Source organism: Homo sapiens, chromosome 15 (genome assembly GCF_000001405.40).
Source record: "Homo sapiens chromosome 15, GRCh38.p14 Primary Assembly".
Classification (NCBI taxonomy): Eukaryota; Metazoa; Chordata; class Mammalia; order Primates; family Hominidae; genus Homo; species Homo sapiens.
Genome location: NC_000015.10, coordinates 44,498,877 through 44,514,496, shown reverse-complemented (window position 1 = coordinate 44,514,496; position 15,620 = coordinate 44,498,877). Strand labels below are relative to the sequence as shown.

At 38.8% G+C, this 15,620-nt stretch overlaps 1 protein-coding gene across 14 annotated transcripts in view; it reads right to left on the bottom strand.

The window, feature by feature from the left end:
• The window catches only part of CTDSPL2 (CTD small phosphatase like 2), a 101,410-nt gene that overhangs the window by 14,542 nt on the left and 71,248 nt on the right, over positions 1-15,620 (bottom strand). For 5 of the 14 annotated variants that reach the window (XM_005254441.3, NM_016396.3, XM_011521665.3 and 2 more), the window contains exon 8: positions 14,684-14,770. In XM_005254441.3, coding sequence (XP_005254498.1) covers positions 14,684-14,770 — 87 coding nt within the window. Of the gene's footprint in view, positions 1-10,646; positions 11,074-12,448; positions 12,536-14,683; positions 14,771-15,620 lie in introns of those variants that run through there. The other 9 variants (XR_007064454.1, XR_007064453.1, XR_007064452.1 and 6 more) reach the window with 4 other exon arrangements.

Sequence of the window (15,620 nt, the reverse complement as noted above, 5' to 3'; positions counted from 1 at the left end):
TCATGTTTTAAAGTATAGAAATATTAACTAAGTACCACTCAAACCAAGTATATTTCACATACAAGCGATCACTTAAACCAATCTCTTTGGTGGGATAATAATAATCACTGATGATCAAGTCATTTTTACTAATAGCAGCATACAGTACTTCACTGGTATGTAATTTTAATAAACATTTAAGCTAAAAATGGAAAGTTTCCCTCTGAGATTTTGATCCACCAGTAAGCTCCATCTTCCAGCCAGGTAGCATCCATCCAATTATTGTGTCCACCTCTAGCTGACCTGTCTCAATGACCTTCCTCAATAATTACTCAGAATTCCTTCAAACAACCACCTGCTAAAAATATCTCTATTTTAAATTTATATCAAGGTAAATTATATTCAAAAGGAGACGTCTGGATTGATGGGTTTAAATAACCTCAGTTTTTCAGAAATCAATCTTCCTATTCTACATTTAATGACTCAGATGTGGCATCTAAATTAGCACTATTGGCTACTTGAGATTAAAATTATAACAGTCAAACACAACAGTTCTCAAAACCTACTGGTCAGTATCAGAAAAGACTACAGTACCCACAGAACTGCTTTACATACATTATTTTCTTATTTCTGTGTCTCTCTTTGCCTACATTTAATATAGCTCCTATAATCTAATATTCAAAAAGCCATGAGCAACCATTAAAACTATTTACATTCTGACTCCTCTAAATTGTATTCATTTTGTTACAAAATTTTACAGAAAGAAAAATACTATACTTCATTCAAAGGTGACTACTATTATAATTTCAAATACCACGAATAACAAGTATTTATTGAACTAGATTCACGGATTCAGATTAAAAACAAACCAAACACCTTGTGGTAGCAACAAATTCAAACCCAGGCTTAGTGGAGTTTCAATTCTGGCATCCATATACATGCACACAAAAATGCCCCCATGACAAAAATCTAGTTCTAGGAATGTTTTAGGGCAAAATAGAGAATTTCCTTAAGAACTGACCACTTATAGGAGACAAATTCTGTTTGTTTGAGATGGAGTTTCACTCTTACGGCCCAGGCTGGAGTGCAATGGCATGATCTTGGCTCACTGCAACCTCCGCCTCCTGGGTTCAAGTGATTCTCCTGCCTCAGCCTCCGGAGTAGCTGGGATTACAGGTGCTCATCACCACGACCGGCTAACTTTTTGTACTTTTAGTAGAGACGGGGTTTCGCCATGTTGGGCAGGCTGGTCTCAAACTCCTGACCTCAGGTGATCCGCCCGTCTTGGCCTCCCAAAGTGCTGAGATTACAGGCGTGAGCCACCAAGCCAGGCCAGAAGACAAATTTTGAATGATCATTACTGTGCTAATAATATCACTCTGTCCCCATCTCTGGGCTAGATAAAGGTTTACTTGTTTTTAATCCTATTAGTTTTTTTTTTTTTTTGAGAAGGAGTCTTGCTCTTTCCCCCAGGCTGGAATGCAGTGGCGTCATCTTGGCTCACTGCAACCTCCACCTCCAGGGTTCAAGCAATTCTCCTACCCCAGCCTCCGGAGCAGCTGGGATTACAGGCATGGGCCACCATGGCTGGCTAATTTTTGTATTTTTAGTAGAGATGGGGTTTCACCACATTGTCCTCCTAACCTCAAGTGATCTGCCTGCCTCCCAAAGTGCTGGGATTACAGGCGTGAGCCACTCCGCCCGGCCTAATCCTATCAGTCTTGATGATCAAAAACAAAGTAAACCACATACCCCTCCTCAAAGCAGAAAAAAAGAACCAAATCCTCAGCATCCAATCACCATCGTTTAGGATGAGGTCTAAAAAATTTAACGATAGTTGTTCTTCTAATCAATTTTAACATTTTCATCCTGAAACATTTGGTGTAGTTTGTAGCCTTGATTGAAAACCACACACACCTTCTTTGGTAAGCCAAACAACAACAGATTTTTATGTATATTATTTTACTAACAAAATCATTTTAATCAACTGAGTCTTTTCAAAACAGATTTGTGATGGTTAAGAACAACCCATCTATTCTGCCAATACTTTTTCTGAATTCCATCTCAAGGTAGATGATAAACTATAAACTATCAGAACCTTTTACTTGTTGCCAGTGTTCATCACTCACATGCAGTTAGTAACCAAAAATATTTCATTTTTTCATGTATATAAATGTTTTATTTTCAATATCCCTATTATCACTTGCTCCATATACAGGTTGAGTGTCCCTTATCTGAAAATGCAAAATGATCCAATGAGCATTTCCTTTGAACGTCATGTCAGTGCTCAAAAAGTTTCAGGCTGTTTTTGTTTTTTTTTTTAAGACAAGGTTTCACTCTGTTGTCTAGGTTGGAGTGCAGTGGTGCAAACATGGCCACTGCAGCCTCGACCTCCCGGGCTGAAGTGATCCTCCTGTCTTAGCCTTCCACATAGCTGGGATGACAAGTGCATAACACCATGCCTGGCTTTAAACAATTTTTTTTTGGTAGAGATGGGCTCTCACTATCTCACTATGTTGCCCAAGCTGGTCTCAAACTCTTACGCTCAAGCAATATTGCCTTGGCCTCCCAAAGTGCTGGGATTATAGGCATGACCCATCACACCCGACTAAGTTTCAGATTTTCTTTTTTTTTTTTTTTTTTTTTTTTTGCGAGACCGTCTCATTCTGCTGCCCAGGCTGGAGTGCAGTAACATGATCTTGGCTTACTGCAACCTCTGCCTCCCAGGTTCAAGCAATTCTCATGCCTCAGCCTCCCCAGTAGCTGGGGTTATAGGCGTGTGCCACCACATCCGGCTCATTTTTGTATTTTTAATAGAGACGGTTTTCACCGTGTTGACCAGGCTGGTCTCAAACTCTCGAACTCAGGTGATCTCCCCGCCTCGGCCTCCCAGGGGAGGTATTACAGGCATCAGCCACCACACCTGGTGATAAATTACAGATTTTGAGGCATTTCAGATTTCGCATTTTTTGAATTAGGGATATTCAACCTGCAGTAAACTAAGATAAGCAGGGCCTCTTTGAGATTTATTGCCTCTGAACACGACACAATTCCACTGCACAAGAATATGTCTAGTTAACAATATTTTCCAGCCATAGTAAGTGGAACATTGTTCAAAGGTGACATTTTCCAACTTCTCATACAGTGACTTCCAGATTAGGTCAAAGCTATAACTTCATTGTGCATACTACTACTTTAACTATACTTAAATATAACATGCATCTTAAAATTTGACATTGCTTTCAAAATGTGTTTGTTTACTGGGGATAAGAGGTGGCACTGAAGATAAAGGAATATATTGCTAGAGTGTTTCTTTACTATGAGAATGGAAAGAGTAACTGTTGAAAATAATAGTTCCTATCCTCAGAACAGATTCACCATGTGAACAAGAAGGTGTTTCAGTATTAAAAGACACAGGCAGAGAATGAGGGAGGAAAGTGGGAAGAAACGTAGAAAGGTACTGGGCTGGGGTTAGGGCCACATGGGGTTGTGCCATGTGATGCAAAGGAAAATCTCAGAAACAGAAGTAGAGATGAGACATAAGGCCAGCAGCGTCTAAGTTATTTGGATATAGGTAAGCGTGAACAGAAATATATAAGTCAAGAAGCACTACGTACTGTCTGGTAAGAACAAATAAAGAACATCTGTCAGGTACATATAATACAATGAGTTTAACTCTTGAGACTACCATTACTTTATTGTGTTAGGTCAGAGATACAAAAACAGACAGATGCACACATAGACATGCCTCCAAATGCTTCAAAATCTATTCTACAAATAGCATTAGCTCCATTTTTCTTCTAATTTTACTCTCATACAAAGATTCCTTTCCTGAGCTGCCTACTTCCCATTTTCTACATTTCCTTAATCCACTCCTTTCTCTACTTAGTATTTTACCTTCTTGAAACTTGCAGCTCTTCAAAATTATGTAATCTCCCAAAGGCCAAAAGCTTCATTTCAGTCTAGTATACATGTTTCTTCAAATCGATAATATTTTATTTATAGTACAAATAATTTTAATATTTTCTCAGTAAACCAAATATATTGTGGAAAATGTCAAAAGTTTAAAAATAATGCCTAAAGCCATAATAAGAAATAATTATATTTAAAAAACTATTCAAGATTGACTACTACTTGAAGATACAGATTTATGAACATGTTCATTATGCAAAACTTTTAAAATGAAAATCTATCAGAATATCTGTAAAAGAGTGTTGTGGTGCCAGGCATGGTGGCTCACGCCTGTAATCCCAGCACTTTGGGAGGCCAAGACGAGTGGATCGCCTGAGGTCAGGAGTTTGAGACCAGCCAGACTAACATGTTGAAACCCTGTCTCTACTAAATATACTACTAAATATACAAAAATTAGCTGGACGTGGTGGCATGCACCTGTAGTCCCAGCTACTGGGGAGGCTGAGACCGGAGAATTGCTTGAACCCAGGAGACAGAGGTTGCAGTGAGCCAAGATGCGCTACTGCACTCCAGTCTGGGCAACAGAGTGAGACTCCGTCTCAAAAAAAAAAAGGTGTTGTGAACTGATTTTACCAAAATTTAAATTTTACACAGAAAATGAATATATATATATATATTTTTAAATGGAGTCTCGCCCTGTTGCCCAGGCTGGAGTGCAATGGTGTGGTCTCAGCTCACTGCAACCTCCGTCTCCCAGGTTTAAGCGATTCTCCTGCCTCAGCCTCCCAAGTAGCTGGGGCTATAGGCGCATGCCACCACAACCGGCTAATTTTTGTATTTTTAGTAGAGACGGGGTTTTGACATGTCAGCAAGGCAAGTGATCTGCCTGCCTTGGCCTCCCAAAGTCCTGGGATTATAGGCATGAGCCACCGCACCCAGCCATATATATAATTTCAAAAAACCCACTACACTACTACTACTTGATATGAATAATACTTGATGGTCTATTTTTTTGTGTGTTAAGATAAAAATTGTATATAGATAGTACTGAAAGGCTATTAATAGTTAACATAGCTGGATTTTTAAAAAAGTAGTCATTGGCTGGGCGTGGTAGGTCACGCCTGTAATCCCAGCACTTTGAGAGGCCAAGGCGGGCGGATCACCTGAAGTCAGGAGTTCAAGACCAGCCTGGCCAACATGGTGGAAACCCCGTCTCTACTAAAAATGCAAAAAATTAGCTGGGCATGGTGGTGGTGCACGCCTGTAGTCCCAGCTACTTGAAAGGCTGAAGCAGGAGAATCACTGGAACAGCGAAGGTGGAGGTTGCACTGAGCTGAGATCACACCACTGCACTCCAGCCTGGGTGATCAAGCAAGACTGTGTCTCAAAAAAATTAAAAAATAAAAAAAATAAAAATAAAAAAGGCAGTCATTAAAATGATAATCCACTTATAAACTGATTCTACATATTATGTGGTAAAGTCTAAATTAAAACTCACATCGAATTATATAATTTCAAGTTATATACTTAGTAATTTCTACTAGTTTATCAAACCTTAATCTAATATCATAGATAATTTTAACAGTATGACCCCCCCAAAAATTACATGTGAGTCTTTTTAGGAAAAACATTTCTAAATGATTTTTAGGCCCAGATAATATGACCATAACTTTCTTTTTTTATTTTTTGAGATGGAGTCTCACTCTGTCACCCAGGCTGGAGTGCAGTGGTGCGATTTCAGCTCACTACAACCTCCACCTCCCGGGTTCAAGCAATTCTCTGCCTCAGCCTCCCGAATAGCTCAGCTGACAGGGCTCCGCCACCATGCCTAAGTTTTTTGTATTTTTAGTAGACACAGGGTTTCACCATCTCGGCCAGGCTGGTCTTGAACTCCTGACCTCGTGATCCACCCGCCTCAGCCTCCCAAAGTGCTGGGATTACAGGGGCTAGCCACAGCGCCCGGCAGACCATAACTTTCAAAAAGAAACATCTTTGAAACTTTTTCCATGACATCCTTCCAACCTATTGCTACATTGTGGCAATAGGTTTTAAAAAATGATGAATCCAAGGAATCATCCACTTTAGAGTATGACATCTGTTTTCTTTTAATCAAAAAGATGACTGGTAGGTGCTATTTCTTATTTAATTAAGCAAGAAGAATTAAAACAGTAGAAAATAAACAAAGTTGGGGAACATAAAGAATGAGATGCAGCCAGGTGTGGTGGCTCAATGTCTATAATCCTAAAATGCTAGGGCATTTTGGGAGGCCGAGGTGAAAGGATCACTGGAGCCCAGGAGTTTTGAGACTAGCCTGGGCAACATGGCGAAACCCTGTCTCTACAAAAAAATACAAAAATTAGCCAGGCGTGGTGGCACTCGCCCGTAGTCCCGGCTACTCAGGGGGCTGAGGCAGGAGAATTGCTTGAACCCAGGAGGTTGAGGCTGCAGTGAGATGTGATCATGTCACTGTACTCTAGCCTGGGTGGCAGAATGAAACCCTGTCTCCAAAAAAAAAAAGAAAAAAAAAGAATGAGATGCTACAATTAACTGAAAAAATCTTATCTTACCATCAGTAGATACCACAAGTGTACAAGTGGCTGTACCAATTTTTTAACTCTTCTGTATACCTCAGTTTCCCTATCTATAAAATACAGGATATAACAACAATATCTACATCATAAGGTGGTTGTGAAGATTAAATAAGTTAATACACGTAAAGTACCTAGAACAGTGTCTGGTACATTCAAAGTGCCAATAGCTATTAGCTATTATTATCTATCTCATTGTTTAAAAGTAATCAGTCACAAGAAGAGCTGGAGTGAGTATGATTCTATTGGGCAGAACTGGGCAACCTCAATTCCAAAGAGAAAGCCCTACAGCCAAAATCTATACTTTTGGAAGAGGGAGATAACAAACTGTTTCAGTAAACTGTTTAATTTAGTTCACATGTTCTTAGCATCAATACCAGAACTTAAAGATAAAACCCAAACCTTCTCCAAAGAAAGAGGGTTATTCAGGTAGGCCCTAGAGTGGTCTCAATTTCATAACCCACTGAGTGATGTTACAGTAGTAATCTTTTGCTTCATGAAAATTCCAATAAGAGGTAGACAGATGCTGGGGGTAGTATTTGTAGGTGGATAAATTTGGGATGAATAGGTAAACACTAAAACCAATAAAAATAAAAACAAAACAACAAAAAATCCCTAAATTAAAAGCTCCTGCGGCTGGGTGCAGTGGCTCACGCCTACAATCCCAGCACTTTGGGAGGCCGAGGTGGGCAGATAGTTGAGGACAGGAGTTCATGACCAGCCTGGCCAACATGGTGAAACCCCATCTCTACTAAAAATACAAAAATTAGCTCGGCATGGTGGCCCATGCCTGTAATCCCAGCTACTCAGAAGGCTGAGGCAGGAGAATCGCTTGAACCCAGGAGGTGGAGGTTGCAGTGAGCTGAGATGGTGCCACCATACTCTAGCCTGGGCGACAGAGTAGCGAGACTCAGTCTTATTTAAAAAAAAAAACAAAAAACAAACAAAAAAAGCCAGGCGCGGTGGCTCACGCCTGTAATCTCAGCACTTTGGGAGGCCGAGGTGGGCGGATCACGAGGTCAGGAGATTGAGACCGTCCTGGCTTACACGGTGAAACCCTGTCTCTACTAAAAATACAAAAAAATTAGCCGGGTGTAGTGGCAGGCGCCTGTAGTCCCAGCTACTCGGGAGGCTGAGGCAGGAGAATGGCGTGAACCTGGGAGGCGGAGCTGGCAGTGAGCCAAGATTGTGCCACTGCATTCCAGCCTGGGCGACAGAGCGAGACTCTGTCTCAAAAAAAAAGTTCCTGCAAAACCTTACTCAAACAGAAATCAACCTGAAAAGAAATTTTTTAAAGAGTACAGGCAGGGCACGGTGGCTCACATCTGTAATCTCAGCACTTTGGGAGTCTGAACTGGGTGGATTGCTTGAGCCCAGGAGTTTGAGACCAGCCTGGGCAACACAGAGAAACCCCGTCTCTACAAAACATACAAAAAAGGGCATGGTGGCACATTCCTGTAGTCCCAGCTACTGTTTGGGAGGCTGAGGTGAGAAGACGGTTTGAGCCTGGAAGATAGAGGCTATAGTGAGCAGAGATTGTGTCAATGCACTCCAGTCTGGGTGACACAGCGACACCATGCCTCCAAAAAAAAAAAAAAAAAAAAAGTCAAAGTAGGATAAAATGAAGCTTAATGTATTCATATAGGTGATTTATATGATTTATATTAAAAGTTACCAATGGGGCTGGGCATGGTGGCTCATGCCTCATGCCGGTAATCCCAGCATTTTGGGAGGCCGAGGTGGGCAGATCACTTGAGGTGAGGAGTTCAAGACCAGCCTGGCCAACAGGGTAAAACCCCATCTCTACTAAAAATACAAAAATTAGCCGGCCTCAGTAGCACGTGCCTATAATCCTAGTTATTCGGGAGGCTGAGGCAGGAGAATTTCTTGAACCTGGGAGGCAGAGATTGTGGTGAGCCAAGATAGCGCCATTGCACTCCAGCCTGGGCAACAGATTGAGACTCTGTCTCAAAAAAAAAAAAAAAAAAAAAAGTTACCAATGAAGCATAATTTTCATCAGGGAAAAATTGGCCATTATATTGTATGTACATATATTTGCATATGTTAAAAAACTTGATGTATTTACATTAATAAAAGTTTAGTCAAAACAATGGCCATTTTAGTAAAACAAAAATGTTACCTTTAAACTCAAACTCTAAACTTCAAAGGAAATGAAGCCTCCAATTTAATGTAATCAACTGTCACACCTTCTAAATTTATAGCCATTAAATAAGAACTTTCCACATAGTATGTTTTCTTTTCTTTTCTTTTTTTTTTTTTTTGGGAGACAGAGTCTCGCTCTGTTGCCCAGCCTAGAGTGCAATGGTGCGATTTCGGCTCACTGCAACCTCTCCCTCCCGGGTTCAAGCAATTCTCCCGTCTCAGCCTCCCGAGTAGCTGAGATTACAGGCACCTGCCACCACGCCCAGCTAATTTCTTTTTTTTAGTAGAGACAGGGTTTCACCATGTTGTTTAGGCTGGTCTCGAACTCTCTGACCTCAGGTGATCCACCTGCCTCAGCCTCCCAAAGTGCTGGGATTAGAGGTGTGAGCCACCATGGCTGGCCCGTATGTTTTTTCTCCTTCTTTTTTTTCTTTTTGAGACTGGCTCTCTGTCACCCAGGGTGGAGTGCAGTGGCGTGATCACAGCTCACTAGGGCCTGAAGCTCTCGGGGTTCCGGTGATCTTCCCACCTCAGCTTCCCAAGTAGCTGGGACTAGAGGTGTGTGCCACCTATTTTTGCATTTTTTGTGGAGACAAGGTCTCACTACATTGCCCAGGCTGGTCTTGAACTCCTGAGCTCAAGCCATCCACCCACCTAGGGCTCCCAAAGTGCTATCATTACAGGCATGAGCCACCACACCTGGCCTCTATTTTATTTTAATGAATTGCTCCTAATTTTGAAAGATACATTTTAGACAAAGAATCCCCATAAAATATATTTTTCCATATTTTTGAGAAATAGAGAACTATTGGTTTCATTTGTATCTTTTCCTTTTTTTAGCCAATTAATAATGAATAATTATGATGAAAAAATTAGTACCAATAACTAAACATACTAATAAGGATGGGAAAGTGACTTTAAAATTATTCTAAAGTAGTATTTTTAATATTCATCTACAATTAATTATTGAATTATTGTTCCCTACAAGCTAAAATATTAGTTTTATCCTCTATACTATGCAACTATGACCCTGAAATGGTTGTCTGATTTCTCAGCCTCCTGGCTCAAGCAATCCTCCTGCCTCAGCCTATCGAGTAGCTGGGACTATAGGTGCTCCCCACCATGCCCGGCTAATTTTTTTTTTTTGGAAGGGACAGGATCTCACACTATCTTGCCCAGGCCGGTCTCAAACTCCCAGGCTCAAGCATTCCTCTCACCTCAGCCTCCCAGTGCAGGGATTACAAGCAAGCCACTGCCCCGGCCTCAAAAGTTTTTTTTAGGCTACTTTTGTAGATGAATCTCAAGAACAATGTGCATGTTGGTTAGTATCAATTTAAGCCAGAACTTGAGAAAAAAATTAGGTATTTACTACAAAATTATAAATTTAAATGATTGGTTTCTTTCCTTCATGAAGCAAAAATAAAGCTGACTTTTCTAGAAAAGACTGTAAAGAGGAGACAGAAGCAACTGACCCTCTACTTCTCTTGTTCTTTCTTTTCTTTTTTGAGATGGAGACTCGCTTTGTCGCCCAGGCTGGAGTGCAGTGGCGCAATCTTGGCTCACTGCAACCTCCGCCTCCTGGGTTCAAGTGATTTTCCTGCCTCAGCCTCCTGAGTAGCTGGGATTACAGGCACCTGCCACCACGCCCGGCTAATTTTTTTTATTTTTTTGTGGAGATAGGGTTTTGCCATGTTGGCCAGGGTGGTCCTGAACTCCTGGCCTCAGGTGATCTGCCCATCTCCGCCTCCCAAAGTGCTGGGATTACAGGCGTGAGCCACTGCACCTGGTTCTACTTCTCTTGTTCTGTGATATGAAAATTATCCTAAGCTGTAAGATTCCCAAGAAAACTGAAAGAATGGGGACGCGGGTAAGCTTTGCTAACCGTGGCCTTCCCCATCCACCTCTTCCCCCAACTTTTCCCATAAAAGCAACCTCTACTAATAAAACAAAGCATCTTTTACAAGTAGCTCCCTACAGGGATCCTATCTGTCCTTGAGTGCTTACCACAATCTGATTTCTGGACAGCTGACCCAAAGTTTGTTGATTTTACTGATCTTCAGAAAGCCACTGACTGGCTAAAGTCTTATTGGTGAACAGAGTCAAAAATCAGATGCCCCTGCCAAGCTTTACAGAATGAGGAGTTGGACAACACAGTTACGTTTGGCTGCACTGTGGTGAAACATATGAGGTATCTTCTTTTTGTCTTCAATCAGCCACATTTGGGCTGAGTAGTTCTATTACATCTTCAAAAAACTGAGCTCCAGTTCTTGATGGAGACAGAGGAAGGTCATTGAGGAGGTGGTTCAGCTCAAGAGCTAAGTGAAAAATGTCTTTTGATTCACTCCTGCTTGTGGATAGAAGTCATCTTCGGGATGGAAGAGGGAGTGAGATGACCTAGAGTCTTGAATTGGTGGATCTGCAGGAACAGAAACTAAATACAGTGGAGACCTCTTAACTGAGTAACACCACGAGATGGATTTCCTGACAAAGTGCCAATATAGGCTAAATATAAAGATTAAACATGTGCAATAAAAGTGATCATGCACTTGTTTTTCCAGATATCAAATGCATTTGTACCATTTTATGAATACATGTTTTCTTAATAACTGATTATAAAACAATGTAAAAAAAAAACCAATTTAAGAAAAATAGACCCATTCAAACAAAAAGCCTGTAATTTTGCCTATATGAGTGCCATTTCCTCACGTTTAACAAGTCGGTTCTTTCAAATGACTTTTTATCCATATACAAACTATACTCTGTCTAGTCCACATAGTGTCAGTAGTAACATACATCAAATTTTAATTTGAGATAGATCTTTCAGGTTTTTTTTTAATCCCCTAGAGAAATGAAATTCAAATTACACCTCAAGGTACTAATTTACAATAATCTACCTGCTTACAAATTCTAAGACTTGCATTAACCAAGTTTATTCCTACATATCAACCAAAAGAAGAGTACGTATCATTAAGTCAGGCAATCTTTAAATGTGAGTAGTGGCCACCTCAAAGTTCCCTCAAACTTTGATTTTAAAAAAACTTTAAAGGCCCACAACCAGATTACTGTGGATCTAATTTAAATTTTCTACATACATTTACAAGAATTTTGATGAACATTTGATTACTTACTTCTACTTACAATTTGAATATGTAAATTTACTGTATATACTCTCATAATTATTAGACCAGGAATCAGCAAACTATGGTGGCCAAATGCAGCCTGCCACTGATTTTTGTATATAACGTTGTACTGGGACACAGTCATGCTTTTTCATTTATGTATTGTCCATGGCTACTTTCATGCTGCAATAGCACAAAAAGCAGTCATGACAGGGACCACAAAACCTAAAATATTTACAACTGGCCCTTTATAGAAAAAGGTTGCCAACCCCTGATATAGACAATTATTAAAACATATATAATACAATTAAATTATTTTGAAATGAAACAGAAATAACATGTAGAGTTAAAATTAGTTATAGGTCAACCATAACAAATATACCACAGAAAGAAAAAAAACGTAAAATAAGTCCCAAGAGGACACTCCATCTGGCTTTCAGATGAAAAATTTGATCTTTACATATAAAATATATATACATATATATGTAAATGCTATAAAACTAACATTCAAGAATAATACAGATACACGCTATGGAACTGTTCATTTAAAAATGGTTAATTTTGTCATGTAAATTTCACCTCAATAAATTTTTTAAAAAATAAGAGTATATGCAGTACTTTACAGATTTCTACCTTTAAGTGGGCCACATCATAGTACAGTGGTTAAAGATTTAAGTTACATCTTACCTAATAATGTGGTTTCTCCAATATCTCTTAGATCATCTCAGACCCTTGTGTATATTTCTTCTTTGCCAGTAGATGGAGACAACACCACTGAAAGTTTAAAAGACATCATTCCCTGTTTAAAGGGAGCTTGCTGGTCTGAAAACTGGGGGAACCCTAACCCAAAGATTTCTTCATTTATTTTTTAAAAGACAGAATGGCTATGCCAAAATAAGAAATCCAAGGGAATGTACCCAATATTAACTACGGATATCCTCAAAAATTTACTAAAAAGTAACTAAACTCTGTCTGTGATATGGTAACTAAATCGTATTAAAGTGCAATCATCTCTATAGCTTATAAGGTTCAAACTACCTGCTCTGTGCTCTCATTTAGGCTAGATCATTTATTTTTCAGTTTCAGAAAGTGTAACTCAGAATACATAAGAAAAAGAGTTGTCTGAATTCCACAGAGGTAGATGCAGTACATACATACAGTATTTTAATTAGTCATATATGCTGCTAGAAGCTTTTTATTCAAAATAAGACAACTATCCAGATCCACATGAAATAATAAGAACTTTAAAAAGAGAGTTAAAGCAGAAATGGTAGAAGCAGTAAGAAAAAAATTCAATTTTATGATCATACTGAAGAGAAACGCTCATGAAAGGGAAGAATCAAATTTACCTACTTAAGTTTCTTATTCACTACTAAGAATTACATAAACAGAACAAAAACCATCTGTAAGAAATAAATTTCAATTTCAAACCTAGAAGCTTAAGAAGTCATCTCAAAATCATTGTTTATCTATATTTTTCAATTAATAGCTTTCCTTTCCAAATTCAAAGCCTTAAAGCCATTTTTTTCAAATGCAATCACGAAAAACACCCAAAAGCAAAAAACAAAGAAAAACCCCAACAAGGTTATCGAGCTTAAAAGAGAAAACTAAGATATCACTATACTATTTACATCTGCCACAAGGACTCCTGTCCTTAAAGTCCACTAAACAAGAACAACAAATTTGATAAAAAAGGTCTTAAGAAAAATACTTGCCTTAAACCAAATAATCATCAGTTTTGAAAGGGAACAGAAAAATCTTTAAATCTTTTAATTTTATGTACATTTTGCTTACCCCCGATTATACATCAGGACTAAAATCAGCTTACATAAAAAGTGAATTCAGTATTCAAATATTTATTGCCATAGCTACAATACCTACCCTAGGTTAAAACTAGAACTGACAACTAAAATAAATCCTCTTACAACTCATTACTAGACAAAGTAGGTTAAAGTAGCCATGAACCACAAACTTCTATTTAACTCTTAAATTTCACGGTTTCTGTGAGACATCAACTATTATCTGCCAAGAAAACTATAACCACATTCTAACTGCCTTTAAGAGCACATAAACAACCAAACACATTTTCATCATCCACATGGCAAGCACTCTGTGACTTTACTAAGTTAATCTTTAGGCTGGCTCCCTCTTGACAGACAACAAACTTTTCGATTCCCAATCTTTCAACTATTATATAATGCAAATAATGCTAGTTAAATAACAACCTCCAAAACAGAAACGTACTTTGCAATTTTCAAAGTGTATTCACTTATATTATTAACTCAATCTTATAATAATGGAAAAACCTTAAAGTAAAAACTATGGCCAGCACACATAATCCACAGTGAAATGTTAATGATATTTGTATTTTGCACTGTTACCTGTCCATCAGCACAGATGAGAGAGAAATGCTCAAACTAAAATGCCCTAAGTAAAACAATAACTAGAAGAGTGTCCTGGAATTCTAAGATTAATTATAAAAGAGATGTACTAAAGTGTAATTTTCACAGACCACATTACTACTATAGGAAATAAAATGATCAACAAGGAATGAGTTTTCTTTGTATTAATTGGATTTTTGGAAAACAAAAACAAAAACACCAGGAGTTAACCTGGCAAGTTCCTCTTGAGGATCTATGATGTCAGTGCTCCTGCCTCCACCTGCTGGCAAACAGATTATGAAACTAGCTGAGATCTCAAGGTAAGAAAGTTAGCATTTTTGGAGTAACAAATTAATGTTGTTTTATGTAATATCTAGCATGATGCTAATTTTGTTAATAAATCATTAAAATGTTGATGAAATCCATTATACTTCTACAGAAAAACACATTTAATGTCACATACACACAAAAAAAATACAAAAGTTTTTTTTATCAGAATGTTACCTATCAGGCCAAAAATCATCAAAAAAATTTTAATTACCTGATAAATGACATCTTGGAAAAGGACTGGAAAAGTAAGTGCTGCATCTTCTAGCTCATTTAGACTACAATGCACTAGTGTTTCATCCTTAAAATAAAAAACAGAAATTGAATGAAACAAGATAGTAAAAGAAACTTCAAAGGATACTTTTATCCTTAATCACCAAAACACTAAAGCACCCATTCATATGTTGAATTTTACATTTATAATATATTACTATATGTGGCACAGCAATTTGGGGTAGGAGTTTCTAAAGTCACTAGTTCTCAGGTATAGCTCCTGGACTAGCAAGCAGAATAAACATCATTTGAGAACTAGTTAGAAATGCAAATGTTAACCTCACTTCTGATGATCAGAAACTCAGGGGAGGGGATGGGTCTCAGCAATCTCTGTGTTTTTTTTATTTTTATTTTTTGAGACAGAGTCTCGCTCTCAGGCTGGAGTGCAGTGGTGCGATCTCAGCTCACCGCAACCTCCACCTCCTGGGTTCAAACGATTCTCCTGCCTCAGCCTCCTGAGTAGCTGGGATTACAGGCGCCAGCAATCACGTCTGGCTAATTTTTGTATTTTTAGTAGAGACAGGGTTTCACCATGTTGGTCAGGCTGGTCTCGAACTCCTGACCTCAGGAACATGCCTTGGCCTCCCAAAGTGCTGGGATTACAGAAGTGAGCCACCGTGCCTGGCAACAATGTCTGTTTTTAGAAGCCCTTCGGATTCTGACACATGCTCAAGTTTGAGAAGCAAGGCTTTGAGTTCTGCAGTTGCCAACTTTCAGTTAAACCCACATGCATGCTACTTTTTTACAATCAGCAAATGTAAGTGTAGAATCTAATTATTAAAAATATATACTCTGTTCATTTAACTCCTTATCCTCCAACTTTTTATAAAGCATCTTACTTTAAGTAGATGTTTTAGTATCTCACAAATTACGTTTCA